This window comes from Homo sapiens, chromosome X (assembly GCF_000001405.40).
Source record: "Homo sapiens chromosome X, GRCh38.p14 Primary Assembly".
Lineage (NCBI taxonomy): Eukaryota > Metazoa > Chordata > Mammalia > Primates > Hominidae > Homo > Homo sapiens.
Window position 1 is genome coordinate 56,663,548 of NC_000023.11, and position 14,089 is coordinate 56,677,636.

A 14,089-nucleotide genomic window follows, 5' to 3' on the forward strand; every position below is an offset into this window, starting at 1 on the left:
ATCCTCTCCAGCACCTGTTGTTTCCTGACTTTTTAATGATCACCATTCTAACTGGTGTGAGATGGTATCTCATTGTGGTTTTGACTTGCATTTCTCTGACGGCCAGTGATGATGAGCATTCTTTCATGTGTCTGTTGGCTCCATAAATGTCTTCTTTTGAGAAGTGTCTGTTCATGTCCTTCCCCCACTTTTTGATGGGGTTGTTTGATTTTTTCTTGTAAATTTGTTTGAGTTCTTTGTAGATTCTGGATATTATTAGCTCTTTGTCAGATGGGTAGATTGTAAAAATTTTCTCACGTTCTGTAGGTTGCCTGTTCATTCTGATGATAGTTTCTTTTGCTGTGCAGAAGCTCTTTAGTTTAATTAGATCCCATTTGTCAATTTTGGCTTTTGTTGCCATTGCTTTTGGTGTTTTAGTCATGAAGTCCTTGCCCATGCCTGTGACCTGAATGGTATTTCCTAGGTTTTCTTCTAGGGTTTTCATGGTATTAGGTCTAACGTTTAAGTCTTTCATCCATCTTGAATTAATTTTTGTACAAGGTGTAAGGAAGGGATCCAGTTTCAGCTTTCTACTTATGGCTAGCCAGTTTTCCCAGCACCATTTATTAAATAGGGAATCATTTCCCCATTTCTTGTTTTTGTCAGGTTTGTCAAAGATCAGATGGTTGTAGATGTGTGGTATTATTTCTGAGGGCTCTGTTCTGTTCCATTGATCTATATCTCTGTTTTGGTACCAGTACCATGCTGTTTTGGTTACTGTAGCCTTCTAGTAAAGTTTGCAGTCAGGTAGCATGATGCCTCCAGCTTTGTTCTTTTGGCTTAGGATTGTCTTGGCAATGCGGGCTCTTTTTTGGTTCCATATGAACTTTAAAGTAGTTTTTTCCAATTCTGTGAAAAAAGTCATTGGTAACTTGATGGGGATGGCATTGAATCTATAAATTACCTTGGGCAGTATGGTCATTTTCACAATATCAATTCTTTCTATCCATCAGCATGGAATGTTTTGTCAAAGGCCTTTTCTGCATCTATTGAGATAATCATGTGTCTTTTGTCTTTGGTTCTGTTTATATGATGGATTACCTTTATTGATTTGCATATGTTGAACCAGCCTTGCATCCCAGGGATGAAGCCAACTTGATCGTGTTGGATAAGCTTTTTGATGTGCTGCTGGATTCGGTTTGCCAGTATTGTTTTGAGGAGTTTTACATCGATATTCATCAGGGATATTGGTCTAAAATTCTCTTTTTTTGTTGTGTCCCCTGGCTGAAGAAATTTCTAAGCAGAAAAGCATTCAAGAGGAAACAGAGCACAAAAGTTTGGGAAACATCCCCTGCTGATGCTGTAGTAAAGAAAAATCCATTTTCTTGGGAGAAATTCAAGCCTGCTGTAGAAATTTTCATAAGTAACAAGGAGCTGAATGTTAATCACCAAGACAATGGGAAAGTGTCTCCAAGCCATGTCAGAAAACTTCACTGAAGCCCCTCCCATCAGAGGCCCAGAGGCCTAGGAGGAAAAAATGGTTTCATGAGCCTAGGGCCCTCCCACTGTGTGCAGCCCAGGGACTTTGTTTTCTGTATACCAGCTGGTCCAGCTATGGCTAAAAGGGGCCAAGGTACAGCTCAGGCCATTGCTTCAGAGAGTGCAAGCCCATAGCCTTAACAGCTTTCATGTGGTGTTGGGACTGCAGGTGTACAGAAGTCAAGAACTGAGGTTTGGGAACCTCTACCTAGATTTCAGAGGATTATAGAAATGTCTGGATATCCAGGAAGAAGTTTGCTGCAGGGGCAGTGCCCTCATGGAGAACCTTTGGTAGGGCAGTATGGAAGGAAAATGTGGAGTTGGAGCACCCACACAGAGTTCCCACTGGGGCATTTCCTAGTGGAGCTGTGAGAAGATGACCACCATCCTCCAGACCACTGAGAGCTTCCACTGTGCACCTAGAAAATCCCAGAAACTCAATGCCAGCAAGTGAAAGCAGCTAGAAGGGGGATATGTACCCTGCAAAGCCACAGGGGTAGAGCTGCCCAGGGCCATAAGAGTCCCACTCTTGCATCGCAGTGGGAGCCCATCTCTTGCATCAACATATCCTGGATGTGAGATATGGAGCCAAAGTGGGTTATTTTGGAACTTTAAAGTTTAATTACAGCCCTTCTGGATTTTGGACTTGCATGGGGCCTGTATCCCCTTTGTTTTGGCCAATTTCTTCCATTTGGAATGGGTGGATCTACCCAATGCCTGTCCCCTCATTGTATCTGGGAAGTAACTAACTTGCTTTTAATTTTACAGGCTTATAGGCAGAAGGCAGTTGCCTTGCCTCAGCTAAGACTTTGGACTTGGACTTTTGAGTTAATGTTGGAATGAGTTAAGACTTTGGGAGACTGTTGGAAGGGCAAAATTGTGTTTTAAATTGTGAGGACATGAGATTTGAGAGGAACCAGGGGTGGAATAAAATAGTTTGGCTATGTCCTCACCCAAATCTCATCTCAAACTCCAGTTACCATAATCCCCACATGTCGTGGAAGGGAACCAGTGAGAGATACTTGAATCATGGGGCAGTTATCTCCATGCTGTTCCCATGATAGTGAGTGAGTTCTCACAAATCTGATGGTTTTAGAAGGGGCTTTTTCCCTCTTTCCACTCTGCATTTTTCCTTGCTGCCACCATGTGTAAAAGCACGTGTTTGCTTCCCCTTCTTCCATGATTGTAAGTTCCCTGAGGCCTCCCCAGCCCTGTGGAACTGTGAGTCAATTAAACCTCTTTCCTTTATAATTTATCCACTCTCAGGTATGGCTTTATAAGCAACAAGATAAGAGATTAATACAGGAGGTCCTGGCTAGTGAAGAGAAATGGAATCAGAAACCAAGACTACTTAAAAAGTAATCTGGCCATATTTTCGTAGAGCAGCTCTGTTGTTCTTGGAGTCTACTTCAGACCCCAATTTTCTCAGACTCTCCAAAGGCCAAAGACCAGAATGGCTCCATCACCAAAACAGCCAAGATCGTGGCCTGCTCCTCCCCCTGGGTGCTCTGTCCCAAGGAGGTTTGAAATCTCTGTCAGCTGGAGAACACCGTTGGGGTAGCTGGAGATTCTAGTTGGGAGGTGTCACCAAGTGAGGAGGAATGGGATTAGAGACCTGCTTCAAAAAGCAGTCTGGCCACATTTTTGAAGAGCCACTGTGCTGTGCTGAGGGTTCAATTATACTTTCTTCTTCTCTGCACATGGAATATACTCTGAAATCAACTACATTCTGAACCATAGGGCAATTTTCAGAAAATTCAAAAAAACTGAAATCATACTAACCACACTCTTGGACTACAGTGAAATAAAAATTAAAATCAATACTAAGAAGATCACTCAAAACCTAATAATTACATGGAAATTAACCTGTTACATAATTACTTTTGTGTAAACAATGAGTTTAAGACAAAAATCAAGAAGTTGTTTGAAAGTAATGAAAGCAAAGATACAACATACCAGAATCTTGGGAACACAGTGAAAGCAGTGTTAAGAGTTTATACCACTATATGCCCACATCAAAAAAGGCAGAAAAATCTCAAATTAACAATTTTATATTAAATATAGATGGACTAGAAATACAATAGCAAATCAAGCCTAAAGCTAGCAGTAGAGAAAAAAAATAAGCAAAACCAAAGTTGAACTAAGAAATTGAGATGTAATAAACTATATGAAAAAATAAAAAAATTCAGGCTCCTAGGGTCTGATAAACAACTCCAGCAAAGTTTCAGGATAAAAATCAATGTACAAATATAAGTGGCATTTCTATACACCAATAACATCAAAACTGAAAGTCAAATCCAGAACACAATCCCTTTAACAATAGTCACACACAAAAAAATATACCTAGGAATACAGCTAACTAGGGAGGTGAATGACCTCTACAATGCAACTACAAAATACTGCTGAAAGAAATCAGAAATGAAACAAACTCTTAAATGCTCATGAATAGGAAGAATCAATATTGTTAAAATGGCTATATTGCCCAAAACAATTTACAGATTTCATGTTATTTCAATGAAGCTATCAATTGCATTTTTTAAGGAGCTAAAGAAAACTTTTCAAATTCACATGGAACCAAACAGAGCCCAAATAGCCAAAGCAATTGTGACCCAAGTAAAAACAAAACAAAACAAAAAAAACCCCACAAAGCTAAGGGCATCACATAATCCAACTTTAAATCATACTATAAGAATACAGCAATCAAAAGAGCATGGAACTGGAACAAAAATAACACATAGACCAAGGGAACAGAACTGAGATCTGAGAAATAAAACCACACACCTATGACTATCTTATCTTTGACCAAGTTGACAAATACAAGTAAGGTGGAAAGGAATTCCTATTCAATAAGTGGTGTTGAGATAACTGGCTAGCCATATGCAGATCAAACTGGATATCTTCCTTACACCATATAGAAAAAATAACTCAGAATGGATTAAAGACTTAAAACCCAAAACTAAAAAGGCCCTTGAACAAAACATAAAACAGAGCATTCTGGACATATACCCTGGCAAAGATTTCATGACAAACATGCTAAAAGCAATTGCAACAAAACCAAAAATTGACAAATGGCACCGAAGTAAGCTAAAGATCTGCACAACAAAAGGAACTATCAGCAGAGTAAGCAGATAACCTACAGAATTGAAGGTTAGTCCATATTTTACAAACATTGTCTGACAAAGGTCTAATATCCAGAATCTATAAGGATCTTAAACAAATTAACAAGGAAGAAACAAATCAGCTTAATAAAAAAGTGGGAGTATTAGTGAGCACTATCTAGAGGGACAGAACTACTAGAATAGATGTATGCATGAAAGGGAGTTTATTAAGGATTATTAACTCACACAATCACAAGGTGAAGTCCCACCACAGGCTGTCTGCAAGCTGAGGGGCAAGAAAGCCAGTCCGAATCCCAAAACCTTAAAAGTAGGGAAGCTGACAGTGCAAACTTTAGTCTGTGGCCAAAGGCCCAAGAGCCCCTGGAAAATCACTGCTGTAAGTTCAAGAGTCCAAAATCTGAAAAACTTGGAGTCTGATGTTCAAGGGCAGGAAGCATCCAGCACAGGAGAAAGATGAAGGCCCGAATACTCAGCAAATCTGCCCATTCCAGTTTCCTCTGCCTGCTTTATCCTGGCCACACTGGTAACTGATTAGATGGTGCCCACCGAGATTCAGGATGGTTCTGCCTTTCCAAGTCCACTGACTCAAATGTTAATTTTCTTTGGCAACACGCTCACAAACACACAGAGGAAAAATACTTTGCATCTTTCAATTCAATCAAGTTGACACTCAATATTAACCATCACAAGTCCACCCCGGTCAACTTCAACCAACACTCATCTCCTGAAATCACACATAATCTTCAGATAAAGACAATAATAAAAAATACGCCTAACGTAGTACACTTATCCTTTGTACAACCAGAAGCGCACTTAACCTAAACGCTATTACATAAAGTTAACAACACTTTAGTGCTGATACGAAGTCTTATGTCACATGATAAATCTTATGTCACATGATAAGAAAAAGGAAATAAAGTGAAGATATTTTCTAAGTACAAGTGTATACATGCACAAACATGTTCTTAACAAAATGAGGAGGAAATATGAAAATTACAGTCTTCATTTCTGCCACTGGTCACATGGTCATAGCTGGTATTGATAACTACTTTCTACTACCCATTCTGTATTTTCCTTGCCTTCAGCAAGCATCTCAGTGAATTGTGGTTTTTTACCTGGTGGAATGACCAAAACTTTTATTCCTGAAGGATCTGAGCCATTTGTAGCCTTGCCTGCGTTGGGTTGTTGCAGTTTCCCATTGACTTTAATCACAGGGCATGGAACTACTAAGAGACACCCCAAGGGATCTTCCATGCATATTCTTTCTTACCTCTATTGTGGAGTAGTAGATTGATTTCATCTTGATAGTCCAGATAAATCATCCCAGCCAACACTAACTCCTTTCTTACCCTGTTGACCTAGAGGTGGAAAGAGCCCACAGTGGCCAGGTGGTAATCTTAATCTCCAGTTTAATGGAATCATTGTTGTGTCTCCTTATGGCAGCATTTCTCCTCTGGGACTAAGACCTCTAGGTCAGCACAACATAGTGTGCGAACAAGAAGCAAAAATTTTGCTAGTGGGTCTCTAGGGGTGATGGTGAGTAGTGCCACTTCCAATTCCACCCCTTGATTCCTGGACCCATGAATCCCAGCAATGGGAGAAACAGTACCATAAATTGGACACTGATTCAGGGCATGCACAGCCTTTTGGAAAACTTTGCCCCAGTCCTGCAAAGCATTGTCACCTAGTTGTGATTGTAACTGTCACTTCAAAAGGCCATTCCACCATTCTGTCAATCTGGCTGCTTGAGGATGATAGGAAACATGGTAAGACCGGTAAATTCCATGAGAATGAGCACATTTCTGCACTTCTTTAGCTGTAAAGTGAGTGCCTTGGTCAGAGACAATGCTGTGTGGAACACCATGACAGTGGATAAGGCATTTTGTGAGTCCATGGATGGTAGTCTTAGCAGAAGCATTGAGTGCAGGATAGGCAAACCCATACCTAGAGTAATTGTCTATTCCAGTGAGGACAGACCACTGCTCTTTCCATGATGGGAGAGATCTAATATAATCAACCTGCCACCAAGTAGGTAGCTGATCACACCAGGGAATGGTGCCATGTCGAGTGCTCAATGTTGGCATCTGCTGCTTGAAAATTAGGCACTTAGTGGTGGCCATAGCCAGGTCAGACTTGGTGAGTGGAAGTCCATGTTGCTGAGCCCATGTGTAACCTCCATCTCTGCCACCATGACCATTGGGAAATGACAGGGGTGGCTGGGGAAAGAGGCTGAGTGGTGTCCACAGAACAAGTCATTCTATCCACTTGATTATTGAAATCCTCCTCTGCTGAGGTAACTTTGGCGAGCACTCACAAGGGATACAAATATATTCAGTTTTTGACCACTCAGACAGGTCCATCTACATTTCTTCCCCAAATTTCTTTGTCACCAATTTTCCAATCATGCTTCTTCCAAATCCATGACCATCCAGACAGATCATTGGCTACAGCCCATGAATCAATAAATAATTGCACATCTGACCACATCTCCTTCTAAGCAAAGTGCACAACTAGGTGTACTGTTTGAGATTCTTCTCACTGGGAAGATTTCCTTTCACCTCTCTCCTTCTGGGATATCCTAGGAAAGGGCTGTAGTGCTGCAGGTGTTCACTTTCGGATGGTGCCCGCGTATCATGCAGAACCATCTGTGAAACAGGCCCTAGCCTTCTCTTCCTCTGTCAAGTAATCATAGGGAACTCCCCGTGAGGCCATTGGTGCAGGCTGGGGGAGAGAAGACAGGATGGCAGGAGGGGAGACCACGGATATGTGAGACTTCCTCATGTAACTTACTTGTGCCCTCAGGGCCTGCTTAAGCCCAATCACCTATATAACACTTCCATTTGATGATAGGATGCTGCTGTGCATGACCCACTGTATGGATAGATGGGTCAGAAAGCACCCAGTTCAATGATATGCTTATTCAGACTGCTGTTCAGGTCACATGGAGACTTGATGACTCAAACATTCAGTTTATACCAAAGCCCAGTAATAGGCCAAGAACTGTCTTTTAAAAGAAGAGTAGTTATCTGTGGAAGATAGCAGGGCCTTGCTCCAAATTCCTAGAAGCCTCCACCGTGATTCACCTGCAGGGACTTACCAAAGTCTCCAAACAGCACCCGTATATGCCACCAATGCCTCAAGCACCATTGGACCTGCTGGGCTAATGTGGCCCAAGTGGCAGAGTGACTTGCACAGCAGCCTGGACCTGTAGCAGAGCCCTGTCCTGTTCTGGACCCACACAAAACTGGCAGCCTTTTGGGTCACTCAATAAATGGGCCAGATTAACACATCCAAATGAGGAATGTGTTGCCTTTAAAATCTAAATAGGCCAACTACACGTTGTGCCTCTTTCTTGGTTTTAGGAGGAGCCTAATGCAGCAACATATCTTTCACCTTAGAAGGAATATCTCAACAGGCCCCACATTACTGGACTCCTAGAAACTTTACTGAGGTAGAAGGTCCCTGGATTTTAGTTATATTCATTTCCCATTGCCTGGCATGCAAATTTATCACCAACAAGTGCAGTGTGTTTGCTACTTCTCACTCATTGAATCCAATCAGCATAATGTCATCCATCAGTTTTCTTTTTTGTTGTGGTTGTTGTTTTGTTTGTTTTTTGAGAAAGAGTTTCACTCTTGTTGCCCAGGCTGGATTGATCTCGGCTCACTGCAACCTCCATCTCCCAGGTTCAAGTGATTCTCCTCCCTCAGCCTCCCAATTATCTGGGATTACAGGCATACGTGCCACCGTGCCTGGCTAATTTTGTATTTTTAGTAGAGACGGGGTTTCTCCATGTTGATCAGACTGGTCTCGAACTCCCGACCTCAGGTGATCAACCCGCCTCAGCCTCCCAAAGTGCTGGGATTACAGGCATGAGCCACCATGCCTGGCCAGCATAATGTCATCAATGTAATGGATCAGTGTGATATCTTGTGGAAGGAAAAAACAATCAAGATATCTGCAAACAAGATTATTACAAAACCCGAAGAGTTGATGTACCCCTGAGGTAGGACAATAAATGTATATTGCTGGCCTTACCAGCCAGGTCATGTGTCAATTTGTTCAAGCAATAAATCCACATCTGGTATAGCAGCTGCAATTGGAGTCACCATTTGAGCTTATGATAATCCACTGTCATTATCCAAGATCTAGCTGTCTTCTGCACAGGCCGAACAGAAGAGCTGAATGGGAATGTGATGGAAATCACCACCCCTGCATCTTCCAAGTCCTTGATGGTGGCACTAAGCCCTGCAACCCCTCCAGGGATGCAATATTGTTTGTGACTTACTATTTTTCTAGGTAGAGGCAGCTCCAATAGCTTTCATTTGGCCTTTCCCACCATAATAGCCCTCACCCTACCAGTCAGGGAGCCAATGTGGGGATTCTGCCACCTGCTAAGTCCATGTCTATGCCAATTATCTATTCTGGCACTGGAGAAATGACCACAGGATGATTACAGAGACCCACTGGACCCACCGTAAATCAAACCTGAGCTATAATTCCATTTAATTACCTGACCTTCATAAGCCTCAACTTTAACTGGAGAACCAAAATGACACTTTGGGTCCCGTGGAATCAACATCAATTCAGAGCCAGAGTCCAGTAGTTCCCGAAAAATCTGATTTTTCTCGTGTCCCCAATATACAGTTACTCTGGTAAAAGGCTGAAGGTCTCCTTGGGGAAAATGGAAGAAAGATTAACAGTATAAACTGTCAGTAGAGCAGTGGGACCCTACCTCAAGGGGACACCTCCTCTTCATTCAAGGAGTTCTGGGTCTGTAAACTGGTTCAAGTCTGGAAATTCACTGAGGGGCCATGATTCTCTATTTTTGTAGTTCAAATTAGTCTTTTGTCCAATTGACCTGGAAGATTTCTGCTTATATAAATTAAGTAAGAATGCAGTAGGCTTCCTATTAATTTCATTGTAGGAACGCTGTGATTAATTAGCCAGTGCCAGAGCTCTACACATGTCAGACTATTCTGATTGCTGTTTTGCCTCTGCTGTCCATTATGGTAATTATACCCATGTAGCCTTTGACAGCTGAGTGCTACCACTTTGCTTCTGCCTCCCCGGGATACAATTATTCCCATTGCACTTAAATTTTGTAATTGAGTGACTGCAGTTCCCACTGTAAGATCTGACATACAGAGAAGAGCAATCACAGAGCTTTTGAAGGATGCAGGTGCTGCCCTCACAAATCTATTTTGCAAAGTGTTGGTCAAGGCTTTGTCTTTTGGACTCTCCCCCCACCCCCGCCCAGGATGAGTAGGTCTAAAGTGATGAATCCACTCTAGCATTCCAATCTCCCTAAGCCTTTGGATCTGTCCCTCTACATTAAACCAAGGGAGAGCAGACATTTCCAGCATGCTCACAATGGGCTATCTTTTGATCTATATTTCAATAAATTCAGCCTGATCCCTCTTTATTTTCCTTCCACTATTTTTCCACACCCTTAATATCCATTCCTGTGCCTGTTCTCCAGATTTCTGCTTATATAAATTAGAAAACATAGTCACTTCCAAGATGGCCAAATAGAAACAGCTCCGATCTACAGCTCCCAGCGAGATCAATGCAGAAGACAGGAAATTTCTGAATTTCCAATGTAGGTATCTGGTTCATCTCATTGGGACTGGTTGGACTGTGGGTTCAGCCCACAGAGGGCAAGCCAAAGCAGGGCAGGGCATCACCTCACCCAGGAAGTTCAAAGAATCAGGGGATTTCCCTTTCCTAGCCAAGGGAAGCTATGAGTGACTGTACCTGGAGTAGCAGTACACTCCTGCCCAAGTACTGCACTTTTCCTATGGTCTTCACAACTGGCAGACCAGGAGATGCCCTCCTCTACCTGGCTCAGTGGGTCCCACGCCCATGGAACCTTGCTCACTGGGACACAGAAGCTTGGCAGGGAGAGGGGCATCCACGATTGCTGAGGCTTGAGTAGGCGGTTCTATGCTCACAGTGTACACAAAGTGGCAGGGAAGCTCAAACTGGGTGGAGCCCACCACAGCTGAGCAAGGCCTATTACCTCTCTGGATTCCATCTCTGGGGGCAGGGCACATCTGAACAAAAGACAACAGACAGCTTCTCCAGACTTAAACGTTCCTACCTGACAGCTCTGAAGAGAGCATTGGTTCTCCCAGCATGGCATTTGAGCTCTGATAATGGACAGGCTGCCTCTTTAAGTGGGTCCCTGACCCCCATGTAGCCTGACTGGGAGACACCTCCCAGTAGGGGCTGACAGACACCTCATACAGGTGAGTGCCTCTCTGGGATGAAGCTTCCAGAGGAAGGATCAGGCAGCAATATTTGCTGTTCTGCAGCCTCCGTTGGTGATACCCAGGCAAACAGGGTCTGGAGTGGACCTTCAGCAAACTCCAACAGGCCTGTAGCTGAGGGGCCTGACTGTTAGAAGGAAAACTAACAAACAGAAAGGAATAGCACCAACATCAACAAAAAGGACATCCACACCAAAACCCCATCCATAGGTCAAAAGCATCAAAGACCAAAGCTAAATAAAACCACAAAGATAGGGAGAAGCCAGAGCAGAAAGGCTGAAAATAACAAAAAACAGAATGTCTCTTCTCCTCCAGAGCAACACAACTCCTTGCCAGCAAGGGAACAAAACTGGAAGAAGAATGAGTTTGATGAATTGACAGAAGTAGGCTTCAGAAGGTCGGTAATAACAAACCTCTATGAGCTAAAGGAGCATGTTCTAACCCATTGCAAGGAAGCTAAAACCCTTGAAAAAAGGTTAGACGAACAGCTAACTAGAATAACCAGTGTAGAGAAGAGCTTAAATGACCTGATGGAGCTGAAAACCACAGTACGAGAACTTCCTGAAGCATACACAAGCTTCAATAGCTGATTCAATCAAGTGGAAGAAAGGATATCAGTGATTGAAGATCAAATTAATGAAATAAACTGAGAAGACAAGATTAAAGAAAAATGAGGCAAAAGAAACAAACAAAGCCTCCAAGAAATATGGGACTATGTGAAAAAACCAAATCTACGTCTGATTGGCGTGCCTGAAAGTGACAGAGAGAATAGAACCAAGTTAGAAAACACTCTTCAGGATATTATCCAGGAGAATTTTTCCAACGTAGCAACGCAGGCCAACATTCAAATTCAGAAAATACAGAGAATACCACAAAGATATTCCTCGAGAACAGCAACCCCAAGACACATAATTGTCAGATCCACCAATGTGGAAATGAAGGAAAAAATGTTAAGGGCAGCCAGAGAGAAAGGTCCTGTTATCCACAAAGGGAAGCCCAACAGATTAACAGCAGATCTCTCTGCAGAAATGCTACAAACCAGAAGAGAGTGGGGGCCAATAGTCAACATTCTTAAAGAAAAGAATTTTCAACACAGAATTTTGTACCAGCCAAACATTCATAAGTGAAGGACAAATAAAATCCTTTCCAGACAAGCAAATGCTGAGAGATTTTGTTGCCACCAGGCCTGCCTTACAAGAGCTCCTGAAGGAAGCATTAAACACTGATAGGAACAACCAGTACCAGCAACTGCAAAAACATGCCAAATTGTAAAGACCATCAATGCTATGAAGAAACTGCATCAATTAGCAGGCAGAATAACCAGCTAGCATCATAATGACAGGATCAAATTCACACGTAACAATATTAACCTTAAATATAAATGGGCTAAATACCACAATTAAAAGACACAGACTAGCAAATTGGATAAAGAGTCAAGACTCATTGGTGTGCTGTATTAAGAAGACCCATTTCACGTGCAAAGATACACATAGGCTCAAAATAAAGGGATGGAGGAAGATCTACAAAGCAAATGGAAAGCAAAATGAAGCAGGGGTTGCAATCCTGGTCTTTGTTATAACAGCCTTTAAACCCACAAAGATCAAAAGAGATAAAGAAGACCCTTACATAATGATAAAGGGATCAATTCAACAAGAAGAGCTAACTATCCTAAATATATATGCAACCAATACAGGAGAACCCAGATTTATAAAGCAAATTCTTTGAGACCTACAAAGAGACTTGGACTCCCACACAATAATAATGGAAGATGTTAATATCCCACTGTCAATATTAGACAGATCAATGAGACAGAAATTAACAAGGATATCCAGGAATTGAACTCAGATCTGAACCAAGCAGACCGAATAGACATTTACAGAACTCTCCACCCCAAATCAACAGAATATACATTCTTCTCAGCACCACATCACACTTATTCTAAAATTGACCACATAATTGGAAGTAAAACACTCCTCAGCAAACGTAAACGAACAGAAATTACAACAAACTGTCTCTCAGACCACAGTGCAATCAAATTAGAACTCAGGAGTAAGAATCTCACTCAAAACTGCTCAACTACATGGAAACTGAACAACCTGCTCCTGAATGACTACTGGGCAAATAACGAAACGAAGGCAGAAATAAACATGTTCTTTGAAAACAGTAAGAACAACGACACAACATACCAGAATCTCTGGGACACATTTAAAGCAGTGTGTAGAGGGGAATTTATAGCACTACATGCCCACAAGAGAAAGCAGGAGGTATCTAGAATCGACACCCTAACATCACAACTAAAAGAACTAGAGAAGCAAAAGCAAACAAATTCAAAAGCTAGCAGAAGACAAGAAATAACTAAGATCAGAGCAGAACTGAAGAAGATAGAGACACACACACACAAAAAAACTTCAAAAAATCAATGAATCCAGGAGCTGGTTTTTTTTAAAGATCAACAAAATAGATAGAATGCTAGCAAGACTAATAAAGAAGAAAAGAGAGAAGAATCAAATAGATGCAATAAAAAATGATAAAGGGGATATCATCACCGATCCCACAGAAATACAAACTACCATCAGAGAATACTATAAACACCTCTACGCAAATAAACTAGAAAATCTAGAAGAAATGGATAAATTCCTCGACACATACACCATCCCAAGACTAAATTAGATAGAAGTTAAATCTCTGAATAGATCAATAACAGGTTCTGAAATTGAGGCTATAATTAATACCCTACCAACCAAAAAAAAAAAAAGGTCCAAGACCAGATGGATTCACAGCTGAATTCTACCAGAGGTACAAAGAGGAGCTGGTACCATTCCTTCTGAAGCTATTCCAATCAATAGAAAAAGAGGGAATCCCCCCTAATTCATTTAAGAGGCCATCATTATCTGATACCAAAGCCTGGCAGAGACACAATAAAAAAAGAGAATTTTAGGACAATATCCTTGATGAACATCAATGCGAAAATCCTCAATAAAATACTGGCAAACCGAATCCAGCAGCACATCAAAAACTTATCCAACATGATCAAGTTGGCTTCATCCCTGGGATCTAAGGCTTGTTCAACATACACAAATCAATAAATGGAATCCATCACATAAACAGAACCAATGACAAAAGCCACATGATTATTTCAATAGATGCAGAAAAGGCCTTTGACAAAATTCAACAGCCTTT